General features: G+C 37.9%; 1 protein-coding gene across 3 annotated transcripts in view, besides 1 other annotated feature; it reads right to left on the bottom strand.

Moving 5' to 3' along the window:
- The window catches only part of MYO16 (myosin XVI), a 712290-nt gene that overhangs the window by 580611 nt on the left and 113253 nt on the right, over nt 1-18426 (bottom strand). The window lies entirely within an intron of this gene.
- Nucleotides 8775-9276: an enhancer, noted in NCBI's record as "NANOG hESC enhancer chr13:109270467-109270968 (GRCh37/hg19 assembly coordinates)". NCBI's record gives its function as "activates a minimal SCP1, AML or CMV promoter by ChIP-STARR-seq in naive H9 embryonic stem cells {active_cell/tissue: H9 hESC(naive)}" and the evidence as "EXISTENCE:reporter gene assay evidence [ECO:0000049][PMID:30033119]".

Below are 18426 nucleotides of genomic sequence, written 5' to 3'. Positions count from 1 at the left end.
ACTTTGAGGAGTTGAAGGAGGATACACTGAGAAATGTATTCACAGATTTCTTAAACTACTTAGAATGTGCTTTCTATGTATAAACTGTATCTACATATAATTTCCCCAGATTAAGAAGCCCTTTTATCTTTTTGTCTTTGAAACCACATACTCATGCTCTAAACATTGGTAGAACTATGTTTAAACCTATTTACATATTTCATCACTACAAAACAAAAATTAATTTCTAATGCAGGCATTAATACTGAGGAAAATAATTTTGGTTCCATTAACTTTACTTCCTTCATAAAATTTTTTAAAAATGGTAACTTGAAGTTGATTAAAATTTCCTCCTCTATATCCATCCCTGAGAAACTCAACTCACTGTTGGGTGGTCAGAACAATAATTTCAGGACTCCTTCAATCATATATATATATAATATATAATATATATATTATATACAATATATATTTTTATATATATTATATATAGCTATATATAATATATATAATATACATATATACATAAAATATACATATATACATGTATAATATACATATATATATATACACACACATATATATTTTTCTTTTCTTTTATTTTCTCTTTTGAGATGGAGTTTCTCTCTGTCACCCAGGCTGCAGTGCAATGGCGCGATCTTGGCTCACTGCAACCCTCTGCCTCCCGGTTTCAAGCAATTCTCCTGTTTCAGCCTCCCAAGTAGCTGGAATTACAGGCACCCACTACCATGCCCAGCTAATTTTTGTAGTTTTAGTAGACATGAGATTTCACCATGTTAGTCAGGCTGGTCAGGCTTGACCTCAGGTGAGCCACCTGCCTTGGCTTCCCAAAGTGCTGGGATTACAGGCATGAGCCACCATGCCCGGCTAAATCTTATATTTTAAATATGGTATCAGAGTTGATGACAGTAGCAAGAAATGACCAAGGCTAAATTAAATATATGGTTAGCAATTTATCTATTTTGCAGAATATGGTCATTAAGTACAAAATTAAATCCATGCGTTCGAAAGAGGGTATTGTTTTGCATTTCCAGAAAATTTTCAAACGCATAAAGCACAATTATTTTATTATTTTTCAGTATTATTACAATGAACTATTGTTCTTTCCAAATACGAATGCATAATATTTCAAACTCATTTTTGAATAATCAAGAAACCCCTTTTTCTCTTTTATACACCATACAGCTGCTCATTATTCACACTATTTCTGATATGAACACATGATTTTTTTTCTCTTAAATGTTAGCATTATTATACACCAGATTTTTTCAAATAAGGCTAAATTATTTCCCAGCCAAAAACAAAAAAAGAAACTGCAATGATTCTAATGAGAGATAAGCATTCAAAAGTTAGAAATTGCTTAGTAAATATCTTTTAAAATGGGATACATGAGACACAGCTCCAAAAAGGCCCCAGGTGAGATACTACTTAATGTTTTCATTTAAAACCTATTTGGACAATGTAAAACATGTAGTTTCATAATGCCAGTCTGCTGACAGATAATTCCTAATCTAATAGTGCCTGCATTGACATGCTTTATTAAATGAAGAAATTAAAACTAAAGTTTGCAAACATCACCAATTTGGGAAAGGTACGTATTAACAGTAGGTCATGACAAAAATTCTAAATGAAGATATAAATCACACACAACAGTTTTTTGTTATGCAAATTTAAGCTCTGTGATGGGGCATCATTGCCTCTGCCCTGTGAATAGGTTGGGGCTTATAAATATTAGCCTTTGATGAAGTAAATTACACACATTTAGAGACCTTGAGCCACAGGTGTCTCACACACAATGGCTGACAGCTAAATTTATAATTTCCTCTATCACAAATATTGACTGCTTCTGGGTGAATGGAGTCAAGACCTCTCCTGGGAACATAACTCCGGTCTAATAACTTAGGGTCCTTTGAGGCTGAAGCCTACAGAGGAGAAAATATCTGAGTTGTCAAAAAATAAGGCATAAATACACTCAGCTCTTGCTATAGAATCAGCCTCTGGTCAACCCCTGGTGCCTCAGGACCAGGATCAAGCCTACCTTGAATGACTGAACATCCTTGACTCTCTCATAAAGTCCCTGATCTCAGTCTAGTGACTGTGGAGGTTGTTCCTGATTTTGGCCTGCCTGTGAAACCACTAGCTCTCGGATTCAGGACTCCACAGGGCTGTGTGTTCACTTCAGCTTCACGTAGTCTCACATTTCTCCAACCAGAACAAACGGACATTCAAGTTAGATGTGGGCAATTGTGAAGTAAATGAGAAGAAATTTACAATACAGACTTGCACAGTTGGAAAGAAGTAGGGGTTAATAGGAACTGCCCTCTCCATGTCAGAGGGCAGTGAGGGCTAACCCAGCTGAGCCCTGCTTTAGTGACTAAAAGTGAATTTGTCATATAACGGCTAGAAAATATCCCTGGTTATTCAAATACTTTCATAGAGTACTGATGTAGAAAAGAAATGCAATTTTAAAAACTGCTTCAAAAAGACTGAAAATTACTCTCTGTAATACAATATAGATTAATATAATAGCAAATACATGCATGTGCATTGATATGGATATATGAAGATACACACACACACACACACACACACACACACACACACACACACTCAGGCTATATGGGATGTTCTAATTGCTCCTTAAGGGCATTTGGCCACCCACTTCCTTTGGTGATTTTTTTCCCTAATCAAAATGAAATGTTTTAAATTCTAGTGAGGACCAGTTAAACTGGGTATCTAAAGCAGGACATTTGTAAAGCATTTGTAAGGTTTTTCACTTGAATCCGAACAACCACTTTGAAATCTTTCCAGCATATGCGTTACAACTATCTAGGAAGACTTTTCCATTTCAGGTGTTTGACCTTGGACAAAAGTTTGCATATCTTAATGGTGAATAAGAAACAGACCGTTTTGTTTTATGTCTGTATGACTCTACCTAGGTTTATGTGCACATGTGTGATATGGATGAATATGAGCACATGAATAATTAAGTATTCTTTGCCTTGTTCTTCAATCAGTTTGAGGGAATAAATAGTATACTGCAACCAGTTACCAGGAATAGGCAGATAAAAAAAAATTTATTGATGACGAAGCAAGTTTAGCGATTACTGTTGGCCTAAATAAGACAGCTGGGACACCAGGCTGAAATGTTTGAACAGATCTCTATACATTTGTCATTTAGAAGACAATATCTGAAAGTTTTTTGATGATCTAAAAGATATTCTTAATTTTCCCAAAAAGGATGAAAGGAATTGTGAGGCAATTAAATAAGAAGCCTCTCCTTCATACTTTTCCCATTGATATACATGGATTTTTTAAACAAAATATGCCTCTTTAGTTGAATCATGCTCTTATTTACAATTTAATCACACTAAGTTACCTATTCAAATTCCATGCATTCTTCAAATTTACTTCAAGCCCATTTAATCTACAAACTGTTCTTGATTTTTTTATTGCTTAAATTATTCCTGACCTTCTCTAAAGCTTATATTCATTTTTTTCATGTACCAGTCAATCCAGCATTTATAATGCAATGCTTTGCATTTTTCTTAACTAGTTATCATAGGGAAGGCTCTTCCTAGGTAGGTAACTCGTTATTTGAGTCTCAGACCTTCTACTTTTCCTATTTCCTATGAAGTCCAAAACATTAGTGAACATTCAGAGATCAACAAAGGGAGAGCCAGAGAATTAGAATTGCTCTAAAGCATTTTCTGGTGCATGACATATAATGTCTTGAGGAATATTTTATTAAAGGCAGGATTATTGAACACTTAAGTAAACATAACTTACCATACATGACAGGAGAAGAAGAAAGAAATGAAGTGGAGTATAGCCCCTTCTTCATTCAAGCATGTAGGTACAAGTAGACTGAGTGTATATTGTTTTTCAATATCCCCCATGAAGGCGCCATTAAAACGGATCATAGGGAGATCTGGCTGCAAGTTTGACTTTCTTCTTCTAAATGAATTCCCTTGTTGCTAATTTTCTTTGAGTGACAATGGATACAATATAGTCACTAGAGAGGTTCCCAAAATTTAACAATATTTTAAGGTGTTCTAGAAAAAGAATGTACACTGAAATATCCAAATTCACAAATGACATTAAATTATTTCTCCAAACTGAAGTCTCAGGCCTTTTGGATAAGTTTAAGTAGCCCTCATTGTTACGATATTGTTCTCCATAAATATTTTCTCCTATCTGCACAGTTTGGGCTGTCAGAGGAAAGAGCATTGGCAGCCTTGGTTAAATGGTGATTACATAAAAGCATACCTTGGAAGCTGGACGTCGTGTGTGTAGCTCTGAAGCAATTTGGAGAATTACCTCCCAGGCCCATGGGCTTATATTTCAGGGTGATAAGCCTGGAGACTTTCTCTTTTCTTCTCCAAGAGAAAATTTGTTTCCTTTTCTCTCTCTCACTCTTTCTCTCAAATGGGCATATGTGCAGCTTATAAAAGCTTAGAGTCCTTGAACTCTTTGGTTCCTCTCCTGTGTTACAATTCCACTGCCCTTGCAGGATGATATCAGGCTTTCCGTCCATTGCTTTTTGAATAGTGGGGCTTTGGAAACCAGTGCCAGGATGCTCTGTGAGTGTGGTCCGTGCTCTGATCCATGTCTCTGATTCATGATCCACGACTTCATGTTTCCCATCAGAATCTCTCTTAGCCTATTTTGGCCTCTCCTCTTACCTCCTCTTCCTCTCGTCCATCCCCCACCATCCCTCTCTTTTCCATCCCCCACCAACATCTGCCTTCCCCCCTCCTCCTTTTCTCTTCCTCCTCTCCCTGTCTCTCTCTCCATACTTCACACTCCCATAAATAACTGGAAGGACTTCTCAGAGTAAAGCAACAGACACAGATAAATTCTGGCCACAGTGCATGAGGCTAATGAAACCGTAGAAGACTGGGACATCCTTTCCCTGACCAAGGCTCCTCTAGTGGGTTGTCCCTCCTTACTTCTATTTCAGTAAACTTCCTTGGATATGAATCCTGTATCTGTCACTCCCTAAAGGTCAGGTCACCTGGTTGAGGTTCAAATTCCTGTGATAAGAAATGGCAGCTGTAATGCCAAGCGCCCAGGGTTCTTCTGTACAAGCTAGGTGCTCAACAAGTACAATTCCAACCATCACGATGTGACTATTTCACACACCCCTGATGTTGTATTGATCTAATGCTATCTTTATATTCATGAAAATATTTATTATGTGATTTGCCTTGAAGACATCACTGCCTTTCCTAGAGTCTTGCAGGTATCAATGACTAGTAGAAACCCCTTCACAGTAATTATGCCATGTTTACCCATGAACCAGGTACTAAACAAGTAAACTTTATACAGTATCCTCCCAATCTGTGGGGGACACTTTCCAAGATCCCCAGTGGATGCCTGAAACCACAGATAATATGGAGCCCTATATACACTGTTTTTTTTTCTATACATTTCTATACTATTCCTATGATAAAGTTTAGTTTATAAATTAGGCACAGTCTAATTTAGAGATTAAGAGCAACAATGATAAAACAGGACAATTATAGCAAAATACTATAATAAAAGTTAGGTGAATGTGCTGTCTCTCATTGTCTCTCTCTCACAATATCTTACTGTACTGTACTCACTCTTCTTCTTGTGATGATGTGAGATGATAAAATGCCTACTGATGCCTGATGTGAGGGGAATGACGTAGGCATTGGTATGGAGCAGGCTACTATTGACCTAACACCGCAGCCAAGAGAGGATCATCTGCTTCAGATGGCCCAGGATCACTGAGCCACGACAATGTCGATGACTGGATGTCAGGAGTAGACGACGTGGATGATTAACGAGCAGGAAGCATGTAGTGCTTATACAATGGACAAAAGGATGATTCATGTCCAGAAAGAAATGAAGCTGGATGGCATGAGACTTCATCATGTTACTCCATGCATGGAACAGCATGCAATTTAAAATTAATGAATTTCTAGAAATAGAATACAAATATTAAATGGAAATTTCTAGATATTTCCATTTAATATTTCAGACTGCAGTTGGCGGTGGTTAACTGAAACTGCAGAGAGCAAAACGGCAAATAAGTGGGGGGACTACCATAGAATTCTATCAGCCCTGGAAGTCTTTGTTGAGCACTCAACATGCAACAGTCATGAATCAGACCTAGACCCTACCCTGTGGAGCTTACAAAGATTATACACTGGGAAACAGAATTACAGAGACTACACTAGAAAATGCATGGCATTATGGAGCAGGCACCCGAAGCTTGAGGGTTTGCAGTGTGTTTCTGAAGATGTGGTGCCTAGCACACACCAGAGGATGAGTAGGAAGAGATTAGGCAAAGCAGGTGGGCAGAAGAGAGGTGTGTGGTATCTTCATGACATGTTCAAGAAATAAACAGAAATGTTTGGCAAGGCTAAAGGATAGTACCTGGCACAGCCAGCTGAGGGGTGAGTTAGAGAGGTAAGTAGAGGCCAGGCTGCGGGGTGGGGATGGGAGGCTCTGTTCCTTCTCATGAGTCATATAGAGACAAGGAAGCTTTTAATGCAGAGGAGTGGGATGTTTAGATCTGAAATGCATAAATATCATAGGAAATTATTGGAGCAGGAGAAATAAAGAGGATAGTGTGTTTGGGAAGTGGAGGCCACTCAAGGCCCCCAAGGGCGAGGAACTGGGGACAGAGCAGAGGCAGTGACAAGTGGGAAGTGGACAGCACATCCCATCATCGACCAAAAGGTGAGTCCTCCTCTTCCTGTCTTGAAATCTCCATCCCTATCTCTGCTTCCTTCTTTCCACAGTTTCCTCATAAAGGCGGACTTGATCTGACCCAATGAAATATTTCCTTAATTTATCTAATGTTGCCAATACTGGAAACCTCTCATCCCTAGAAGCCCAAAATCCAGAAGTTCCACCCACAGACTTTGCATCAAGAGAATGAGTCTGGGATGCCTGAAAACAGTAACATGAATGCATGCTCTTAGTACGGTTCATCCCTGCTTCCTCTCTTCTTCAGTGTGGCTTCAACATCAAACATCAGAGCAGCCCTAAAACTCAGGTAGTCAAAAAATAAATACGTTAGTGTTATTCCCTTTAGCATTTCCAGAATAAATATTCAGATTTATTATTCAAAAAGTAAGAAAGTTATAAATAAGCTTCTAAGTGAATATTTCTAGGAAATGACCTCCATTTTTTAAGGCTTCAACTTATATAGCAAACAATTAAAAAGTGCTTATTATGTGGTAAGCATTATTCTAATATCTTCATAGGCATCGATTCATTTAAGAATCAGAACAATGTAGTGGGTACTAATACTTTTTTAACAGATGAGGAAATTGAGGCACAAAGACTAAGCAAGATGTCCAAGATCATTCAGCCATAAAGGAGCATGACTCTGTTGACCAAGTCATTCAGGCTACAGAGTCCACCATACCTTTCATCATGGGGCAATACCCCTCCTGCTAGGTGGTTTAGGCTTAGGTTTCCAGTATGCCATTTGCCTTCAACTCCTAGCACAGGCCTTTCTTCTGTCTGTCACATTTTTTCTACCTTCCTCACCGCGCATCGTCCCTTGCCTGATGAACTTCAACCCTACATGTTGGTGTTGTGTATATAGGGAGAGAGAGGGAGAGGGGAGGACACACATAGGAGAGACATCTGGAGAGGAGAAGGTGGAGAAGGGAAGGGGTTGTGTAAAATGAGTAGAAAATAAGTGTTCAAGGGTCACAGCGGGCAAACTGCCTCCCGATCAGTCCCTTCCCCTTTCTTCTTGGCCAGGTTAGCTGCACTGATGTATCGCTGTGATACCTCCTGATGCTACATCCTATTACTGCTAATTTACATCCTGCGTGGGCTTTCTCTCAAAATGCTGACATGATGCTGCTACATTGATGTTTACTTTTACACCCTCGAGTATCTATCAAGGCAGACATTTCAACATACAGACCCAGTCAACCAAAAGTGTCAAGAGAAGGAAAGTGTCAAGAAAAGATACAGATCGGAAGTAAGATTTTATCAAGGGAAGAGGTATATATGTTTATATTTGAAATTTAAGAGTATAGCAGGGAACCGAATTTTAGAGTCTCGTGAAGTAGCTAAGCTGTAGCAAATTTAGTAGACATTTAATAATTTTTTAACATATCATGAATACTGGCAATTACATCTAAGGTGCTAATATGATAAGAATTATCTCCAGACCACAGAAGATATTGATATACATCTCTAAAGCCAAATATGTAAGTGTTAGTTGAGTGGATTAAGGTAAGTTGTAGTGCGATGGTTGTGGAGAAGTATCACCAAAATAAAAGTCTTACATGAATCTGATGGGGGATATTTTGAGAGTGTCAAATTTATGACTCTGTTTATTTACATAAAATCCAAAAACAGGAAAAAATTATGATAATAGAAATCAGGCAAATGGGCTATTGATAGGAAAAGGGCTCTAGGGAACTTTCTAGAACAAATGGAAATGTTTCATATTTTGATCTCGTGGTGGTTGCACACGTATAAATATAGAGAGATACATTAAGATTGGTTGAATTGTACATGTAGTATATATGTGTTTTACTGCATGCAAATTATAATCTATTGTTTAAGTGTTGTAAATAGTGACAGAGTTCCTAACATAGCAGCAACAGACACAGTGAGAAAAGGATTTCTAAGGGTGTAAAACTAAGGTAACTCAGAAGCATTGGTTCATTCTACATTCACTCATTCAACAACTATTGACTGACAGGCTACTGTACTTTTGCATATGGATACAAATAAGGGGCAGTCACTGCCCTTAAAGTGATTTCCCAGCACAGCAAATCAGCCACTATAACACAGTGTGGAAAATGCAAACGTAAGCTTAGACAAAGCAAGATGGAGGCATGGAAGAGGTGGTGGCTGGCCCAGGCAATGGCTCCTTCATACCATATACAATGTCCTCTGTGAGGTGCTCCTGTCTGTCTCTACAGGCTCAACTCTAGCAGCTTCTCATCTGCAATGCAAATGTTCTAGGACAGCCACTGCCACCACAGTCTTAATGCACAATGCCTTGCAGGAGGTGTCTCCTGCTGGGAAGTCTTTTCTCCTCTTTTTTGCAGGTGCTCTTCTGTCCTGAATTACATGCATCTCTTCCATAGAATCTTGGGAGAGAGTCTGTAGTTACTCAAAGGGATCCCTGACCTGAAAAATGAAGACCACTCTTGCAGCAGATGGGGAGTGGATAGCAGATTTTTAACAGAGGAGTTAAATCGTGATGCTCTGTGAAGAACAGATTTGAGGGAGACAAGATGGACAGCAAGGAAACTTATTTAAAAAGCTCCTATAATAGTCCAGGGGAGAGAGCATGAGGGCTTGAAATTGAGTCATGGTAGTGAAGACAGAGCAGACTGGGTAAATTCTCAGGAAGCAATAGCTTGAAGACTGGCAGGATTGGGAAGTGAGAGAGAAGACCAGCTTTCTAGGTGCTTGGGTGTTTGGTGAGGCCATCTGCCTATCTGGTGAGGGAAAGGAGAGTGGAGGAAGAAGAAGCAGAGTGGAAAAGGAAGGGGATGGTGTAAGGGAAAGACAATCGATTATCTGGGTATGATATATCTAGGAAACATCAATAGAATAAATAAGTACATCTATTGGGTACTCAGTAAGTCTTGTCCTTGGCTCCCTGTAAAACCATCCCTTGTTATGTGTGCAGGGCTTCTGCTATGCACAGCGTTTGCTGGTATTAGAGAAAACACAAGATGGACTGAACATGGATCCTAGTCTCTATTTATTTCTTCTTTATTTTCCTTTAGTAATTTTGTTTATGGAGACTGTACTATCAGGCAGGCACTAGGCCCTGAGAGACAACCATGGCACAGATGAAAGCCCGTACCTGTGAAGAGCTTACCATTTCAATGACATTATTTAGGCATTTACAACAACAGGTTGTTCAGTGCTATAGTGAGGAGGAGTAAAACTACTCAGGTATACACAGAAAAGCCTCTGCCCAACTGCTAGGGATCAAATAAGATTGGCTGAAATGAGCTATCATAGCTGAAATCTGCAGAATGCATAGAAGGAATGAGGGAATGAGGGCGTATGAAAGAGTGATGCAGTCCTGTGGTTTTAACCGTGGCCCCTGGACCAGCAGCAGCATCCCCAGAGAACTTGTTTGAAATGCAGATTCTGTGCTCCCATCAAACAGGGCTGCATCCAAATCTCTGGGGTGGGTCCAGCGCTCTTGGGGATCTCACAGGCCCTCCAGATGGCTCTCTGCTAAACACTAAGTCTGAGAATCACTGCTCTAGGAAAACAAAAACCTGAAGAAAATGGCACACTCGGTGGCAAGAAAGAATGGAAAACAGCTTCCTTTTGTGTAAATGAAGATGTTCAGGGATGGCTGGAGTCTGGAGTTAAGGATGAGCAAACAGATGAGAGAGGACACTGAGATGGAATCAGAGATCAGGTCACAAAATGGTTTGGAGCAATTTGAACTTTATCTTGGGGATACTGGGGAAGGAGCCATTCGCAGGTTTCAAGCCCCAGAATGAAAGGAAATTTCAAGCAGATCACTTTTGTTACAGTGTGGACAATGTACACAATACTTTATCTTTCCTCTGACCTTTTCCTCTTTTCATATTCAATTAAGACGTAGGGAGATAAATGAATAGGTCCTAACAATTCCTTTCTTTCTACACTTTTGTACTGCTTTGACTTACTGATGGATTCTAACAACCTTCTTAAAACAATAAGTAGTTTCTAAAATACTGCAACATTTAATGCACTTAGAGCAGTAAGGAAGGAATTCAAATTCCAGACCAAGAATGCCTTAATTCCCTAGGAGCACATTTCAAGGGCACAGAGAGAAATCTTCAGCTTAATTCACCGGCAGCGTGGTTTATACACGAACAAGGGAAAAAGGATTACTGCCCATGGTTCAGTTCCCAAGTCATCATCATATGACCCATCACTAAACGGCCGAGGAAGAGCTAAAAGAGAATATGGAGTTGATACCATCCACAGTTCTCTCGATGATTTCAAGCATAGACTACGATGGTGAAGGAATTCGAATCCCCAGGAAAACCGGGGATTGCGCTTACTCAGAACATTGCATTTCGCTCTGAAAGAGTCTTAACTTGTTTTGTACTTAGGCACAAAATACAAAGAAAGTGAACATGTTTTCTCCTTAATGTCTACTGTATATACATTTTTACTTGAAAATGCTACTCTTCAAATATTCAATTTAAAAACTAGTTATAGAAAGACTAGTGTGTACAAAATGTTTTCATAAAAGTTGACTTGGATAAGATAATGAAGAAAAATGCATGTGTCCCACTCTCAAGTAACTTATAGTTTCCTGGAGGAAGGAGGGCACTTGTGAAAATCATCAGCCACATGTAAACATAAGTGTTTATGCCAAATCAAAGTGTTTATGCAGTGCCATGGGAGCAGTGAAGACAGAGTGATGTGTTCTACTTCAGGATATAAGGGACTGCATTTGTGCAGAGAAAGGAAGGTGGGTAAGAAAATTCACAATACAGAATGGTATAAACAGGTCAGGAAAGAAAAATATGCGTATTTCACTTTTATACTAATGGATTGTTTAGTATGGAGGTAGACAGTTGTAGATGAGCTAGTTTGGAAACAAAACCCAGAACAATCTGAAGGCCTCTGGAAATCATTAATCTGCTTTCTGTTTCTGGGATTTACCAATTCTGGACATTTCGTACAAATGAGGTTATACCATATGTGGCCTTTTGTGTCTAACTTTTTTCACTTAGCATATTTTCATGGTTTATATATCTGACAGCATGGATCAATATGTCCTTCCTTTTTATATTGAATAATACTCAATTGCAATGGGTATACCACATTTTGTTTGTTTCTTTCAGTAGATGGACACTTAGGTTGTTTCTAGCTCTTTTGCTATTGTGAAGAATGCTATGAATATTCATTCATGTTCAGGTTTTTGTGTGGACATATGTTTTCAGTTCTCCTGGGTCTATACATAGGAGTAGAATTCTGGATCACGTGATAACACTACATTAAAAATTTCGCAGAACTGCCAAATTTTTCCAAAGAGGGCATACTATTTTACAATTCTACTACCAGTGTATTAGGGTTTCAATTTCTTCATATCCTTGTCAGCACTTGTTATTGTCTGATTGACGTTTTATTTTAGCCAGTTATGGGTATGAAGTTTATCTCATTGTAGGTTTGATTTGCATTTTCTTAATTACTAATGATTTGGATCATCTTTTTCTCTCCTTATTGATCAATTGTTTATGTTGTTTGGAAACATATGATTCACGTCCTTTACCCTTTATTATTGGGTTGTCTTTTTATTGTTATATTGCAAGAGTCACTTTAAATATTTTAGAAAAAAGTCCTATATCAGATATAAAATTTTTGAATGTTTTCTCCCATTCTATGTGTTGTGTTTTCACTGCTCTGATGATGACCTATAAAACATAATAATTATCAATTTTAATGTAGCTCAAATTACCATTTTTGTCACTGTGATTTTGGCATGATATCTAAGAAACCATTGCCTAATCCAAGGTCACAAAAATTTACTCCTGTGTTTTAAGAATTTAAAAACTGTAGCCACTGCATTTAGTTCCATGGTCTATTTTTTTGTTAATTTGTGTATATGGTATGAAGTATGGGTCCAAGTTCATTCTTTTGCATATGGATATTCCGTTGTTTCAGCAACATTTGTTGAATAGACTCTTCCCATAGAATAGTCTTGGCACTGTTGTCAAAATTGATTGATCATAAATATAAGTGTTTATTTCTGGACTCTTAATTATATCTCATTGATTTATATATCCAGCCTTATGCCAGTATCACATTGTTTTGATTATTTTGTAGCTTTGTAGTAATTTTGTAATTGGGATATGTCAGTCTTATAATTTTGTTTTCATTTTAAAGATAGTTTTTAGTTATCTGGATATCTTGCATTTATGTGTTAATTCTAAGGTCAGATTGTCAATTTCTGCAAAAAGTCCAGCTATAGTTTTAATAGGGATTGCATTTTATCTGTAGGCCACTTTGGGGGAGCATTGCCATCTTTCCAATATAATGTCTTTCAATCCATGGAAAAGAATGCCTTTCCCTTTGAGGGCTTCTTTAATTTCTCTCAACAATAGTTCATAGTTTTAAATGTACAAATCATGCACTTGTTCTGTTAATTTATCCCTAAGCACTTTGTTCTTTTTGATGCTATTTGTATTTAGAATTGTTTTTGTAAGTTCATTTTTAAGTTGTTCATTGCTGGTTTGTAGAAACACAATGGATTTTTGTTTGTGGATATTGTATCCTGTAAACATTCAGAACTCATTTATTGGTTCTACATTTTATATGGATTTCTTACAATTTTCTATATGCAAGATCATGTTGTCTAAGAATAGATAATTTTGCTTCTCATTTTTTAATCTGAATTACTTTTATTTCATTTTGTTATGTAAGTGCCCTGGCTAGAACATTCAGTACATTATGGAATTGAAGTGTTGAGAGCAGAGAGTATTGTCTTGTTCCTCATCTTAGGAATAAACTTCTATTAGGTTCAGGAAGCATCTTTCTGTTTCTCATTTACTGAGTGTTTTTATCATAAAAGGGAGTTATATTTTGTCAAGTGATTTTTCTGAGTCTACTGTGACGATCATTTGGCTTTTGTGTTACTTTACCTATTAATTTGTCTTTTGTAATACTTTGCCTGTTAATATGATATATTATATTCAGTGATTTTCATGTCTTGGACCAACCTGATACTCCTGGGATAAGTCCAACTTGGTCATAGTGAATAAATCTTTCTATATGTTTCTGCATAGGGTTTGCTAGCATTTTGTTGAATACTTTGCTTTTTATATTCATAAGGGACTTTTGTCTGGAGTTTCTATGGAATGTCTTTGGTTTGGGGATAAGGGCATTCTGGCTGCATAGAGTGATTGGGAAGTGTTCCTTCTTCATCTATTATGACACTAAGTTTTGAAGGTGGCTTCTTACACATAAAAGGATAACTTCCATGAACATAACCAGGAGGGCATGTTACCTAACTAGATATCAAGAAATAAAAAGAGGAGACAAGTAAAGATAAATTTTAGAATGTCTTCAGCATATCCAGAATTGAGGACACATTTAGACACAATCAGTCATTTACATATTTCCAATGTTTTTACAGGCAGACAGAATGTCAAATCCAGAAAGATTATGTAGATTTCCCAGACACACAAATGAGCCCTACCATATTCAGAAAATGCTGAAATCAATTCTTTTTTATATTTTAATCAAATTTAATTAAACTTTAGCCCTCTTAAGACAACGTGCCCAATTTGTTTTCTTGACCTTAAAGTGTTGCCATAATCAATCCCATCTTTCCAAGCCATAAACTTTATTTTACAAGTACACTTAGCTTTACTTTTTGTCTCTCTCATCTCAGCTCCACTCCCTAAACACTATATCGTCTTCAAACATGAAGTGCTATTTCTTGTTTCAGAGTCTTTGTGTTGGAATAACCCCTTCTTCTTAACCTGGCTACATCTCCCCGAGTTGCATACTGGTTTAATTTCAAGACCTAGTTCTTGAAATAATTTTCTTGGTTTATTTTCTCATTTAGCAGGGAAGGCAGGCTCTATTAACAGGGTAGCAAGAATGTAAACTAGGTATCACTCTTGAAGAGTTACCTTTCTCACGGTCTGAAAGGAGGTAATGGGAATGGGTTGTCAAAAGTCAGAGCCTACCCCTCCCAACCCCACCCTGATAGATGGTGCCCCTTCCTCTGAGCCTCCCTTTGTGTAGTGCAGGGACTATCTCAGCACCTGTCACTTTATAGTCCATTTATTTATTTCCTCGAGTGTTTCCTGTGAACTCCATTTGGGCAAGGACCATGTCTTGTTTGACATTTTAACCCAGTCAGAGTACTTGGCACATGTTAAATGTTAAATCAATAAACAGTTAGTGATTTAGTATTTTTAAACCTGAAGGCATTTCTGTCAAGACTGTGCAGACAGTAGCTGGATTTGTCTTATTAGTGTCTACCACCTAAGCATCCTGTCTCCTGTAGAATCTTATATTTTCTTAAAATGATTAGCTTTGGTAAAACTTTGATTCAATGATATTATTACTTTTTTTCTAGTATTAGCATCTTGTCTCTCTTTTTCCTTTTTCCTTGTTAAGGATTCCTTTCCTTAAGCATTCACTAACTCATTAAGCAGGCAACATGCAAGACACAGGACTGTAAAGGCACATATGTTACAGTGTATGTCCAGAGGAGCTGCAGAAGAGTCAACTAAATGGGCAAATAAAATGTTCATATCTTATCCATAAAGTAAAGCCAACAAGCGATTCAAGTCTCTACAAATATGCACATGCATGCATATATATGTGAAGAAAGTAAAGAGTCTACTTTATCAGAATATTACCTGCCTTCCAGCCTGGGCGACAGAGCGAGACTCCGTCTCAAAAAAAAAAAAAAAAAAAAAGAAAAAAAAAAAAAGAATATTACCTGCCTTCTATCTAGCTCATCTCAATACACAACTGGAACACAAGCATTTTGCAGAAATAAGTTGTTTCTGTTTCATGCTCCTTGCCTATTTTTAAAAATAAGTATTATGCCTAAATCCAACAGTTTAGAGCCATAGCTTCAATTCCATTTTTTTTTTCAATTTACAAGTTGGAGGAGCACAGTACCCTAGCTTATCTTCTCTGAGTCTCAACTTGCTTACCTACCCTGGGTCAGAAGACCATTAAACTGGACTACTGTGGGACTGTGTAGAGGGCAGAAGTTCAAATGGAATATCTGAGCCCATGATATGACAGATGTGACTTATCTTTTTAGTAATCACTAATTACTAACTCTATTTATGGACAAGAACCAACATTATTTATTCTGGTTTTATATTCATCAAATGGTCTTTAAAAAGCTTTCCTCATATGTGAATCTCTAAAGACTGTAGTGTTCAAATTTTATAAGGCTCTTGGTGAGGCAGATGGTAAAACATAAAAGTTGTTCTGATTTGAAATTGAATTGAATCCAATACTGGCTACATGTTATTTTTCTAGTAGTTCCAAATTAATTCCTTTTTCATTTGTTTCAGTGTGACTTCCAATTTAGAACTTTTTAAAATGATTAATTTGATTCATTTTTTAAGGTCCTTTTTTTCTCTTTTTATTGTGATGTAACACAACTGAAAACAATAGAGCAGATCCACCACCCAGGTCTTTAAAACTAAAAGGCTGTAAGATCTTACTATGCCATTGTCTCTTTATATTTTATGTTGATTTACTCTTATTTATGGAAAGCTAAATTACGTGGACTCAAATCTTTGAAGTGATACCTCACCTCTTTCAAATTTAGGCAGAATACACATCATTTTCAAAATGATATATGTGATACCTAATGGATATCTTTAATTTTTAAAGTTCATATAAGAATTCATCATTCAAATCATGATGGCTTTTGCACCCACTGAAGACTTTCCTGTCATCTCTTTTATTACTATGAGTCAACTTAATTTTTTACTGAAGCATCTGGAAATGAACTTCCGGTAGACTTATCTATCCAGAGGAAAAAGAGCACTAACACAGACAAGCTGAAAGTAAAGGCAAAAGCTCCTTTTTTTTCTTTTCAACCATTCTGCAATTCTATCTACTTGTTTCTCTCAGCTCTCCTCCTCTCTTCTGCCTCAAGGTCACCTCTTCCTTGTCAAGATAGCTCTTGGCCATTTGCTTATCAGAGTCTCTGCCAGATCCAGCAATACTGCAGCCAAGAATAAAGCAAATATAAGAAGGAGGATTTACTATAAATGGCAGCGTGAATGTGGCTGAACTTAAAATGCTTGTATAACTTCGACATCGCACGCTTCCATCAGCACCTATGCATGCAATTTGAAATGATTTTAGAGTAGCACTGTGCTCTATGCTTCTTCATAAACAAGGGCAGGGGCCTTGTCTTTCTATTTCTCCAGATGAACCAACACACAGGAGGATTTCAACAATAAGAGAAGAGTACTTTTGCCCACAAAGCGCTCCAGGTCCCAAATATTTTGAAGTACAGTACAAGAAAAAATGTCTAGTGCAGCGTAATCATTAAAAAAGAGCCCAAGAGAGGAAATGGCTGAGGCAGGCAAATATTAGTAAACTTAATCAATTTCATGGAAAGGCATCGACGGAGCACACACAGTACATTCTGACTATGTGTGTGCTGGTCCAGTCCCTGTGTTAGTCCTTATGTGCACTCTCTCCTTTAATCCTTGCCACCTCCTCATCCTACAAACTCTGTACTACTGTTAGTCCATTTTACAGATGGACAAACAATGTCTAGAGAGGGGATTGTCAAGGTTGAAGAAAGAGTAAGCCTGGATACCCGTTTCAGGTGTAACACTCAGTCAGTCCCAGAGCTTCACATGAACTTTATTCTGTTTGTTCCTAAATAATTTCCTGTTTCTCTTATATACTTTATGAAATTGTCAGGACGGTCTGACAATTTCCTTTTGGGCCCAGTGTTTTCCTCCCCAGCACTCTTTCAAGTGTCCATGATTCATCCTTTCAGATGACTGTAGTGGTGTTCCTTCTAGCCAATCTCTTTATGCAGGGCCATTCCATGAGGCTTTTACTCAAATAACTATCGTTTTAGAATGTCTATCTACAGTCTTAACATTATTCTACAAATGGTAGGGCCATCATGACCTATATTAAAAACAGAAAGGATTAGTGTCGGATTCAGTTCAGATAAATAAATAAATAAATCTCTGTATAAAATTCACTTTTATTTTATTTTTAAAATTTTTTAAATTGAAGACAAAGAAGCAGAAATGAAATTTCCACGCTATCAAATGCGGCTGAATCTTGGCTTCTGCTGTGCTCATGTTGCTGAAGTCCTTCTCTGATCTCCCTCTAGTGTCTTTTGTTCAGTACTACATTTACTCATCAGCTTAATGACTTCAAAATTGTTCCTTCATTCATTCACTTGGCTGATAGCATTGAGCACCTGTTTGGGGCCAGGCACCTCGCTGGTGTATGTGCCGTGAGCAGAACAGACCTGGGCCCTGCCCTCATGGGATTCACAGTCTAGAGAAAGGCTAAGCGTTAAGGAACCGTGGTGGCCCAGAGCACTCCCACTGTCTTCCCTTTTTCCGAAGCCCCCTTTGTCTTTGCACCCATTTCTAGCCCTTTCTCCCCAGTGCAAAGCCTGCAGCCCCAGCTGTGTGTGATACAGAATAAGAAGAAGGGCTGGGCAGATCAAGGAGAAAGCACAGGAGAAGGCCATGAGAAGAATGAGGAGGAAACTTCCAGGGACTCCATCGTTTCCTGGGCTGGCCTGCAGACAGGCTTGAGTTGTCGGCCAGTGAGAGGAGCTGAACCTGCCTATGGAAAATAAGGCAGTGAGGAAGAGAGATTGTGAAGAGTGTTGCTGGGGTCACCATTGAGTACCTTTCAATGTCCTTCAAAAAATAAAGATTAAAAAATTTTTTTACATTGATTTTG

This window comes from Homo sapiens, chromosome 13, assembly GCF_000001405.40.
Source record: "Homo sapiens chromosome 13, GRCh38.p14 Primary Assembly".
Lineage (NCBI taxonomy): Eukaryota > Metazoa > Chordata > Mammalia > Primates > Hominidae > Homo > Homo sapiens.
The sequence above is the reverse complement of the archived record's forward strand: the minus strand, read 5'-3'. Positions and strand labels throughout refer to the sequence as shown.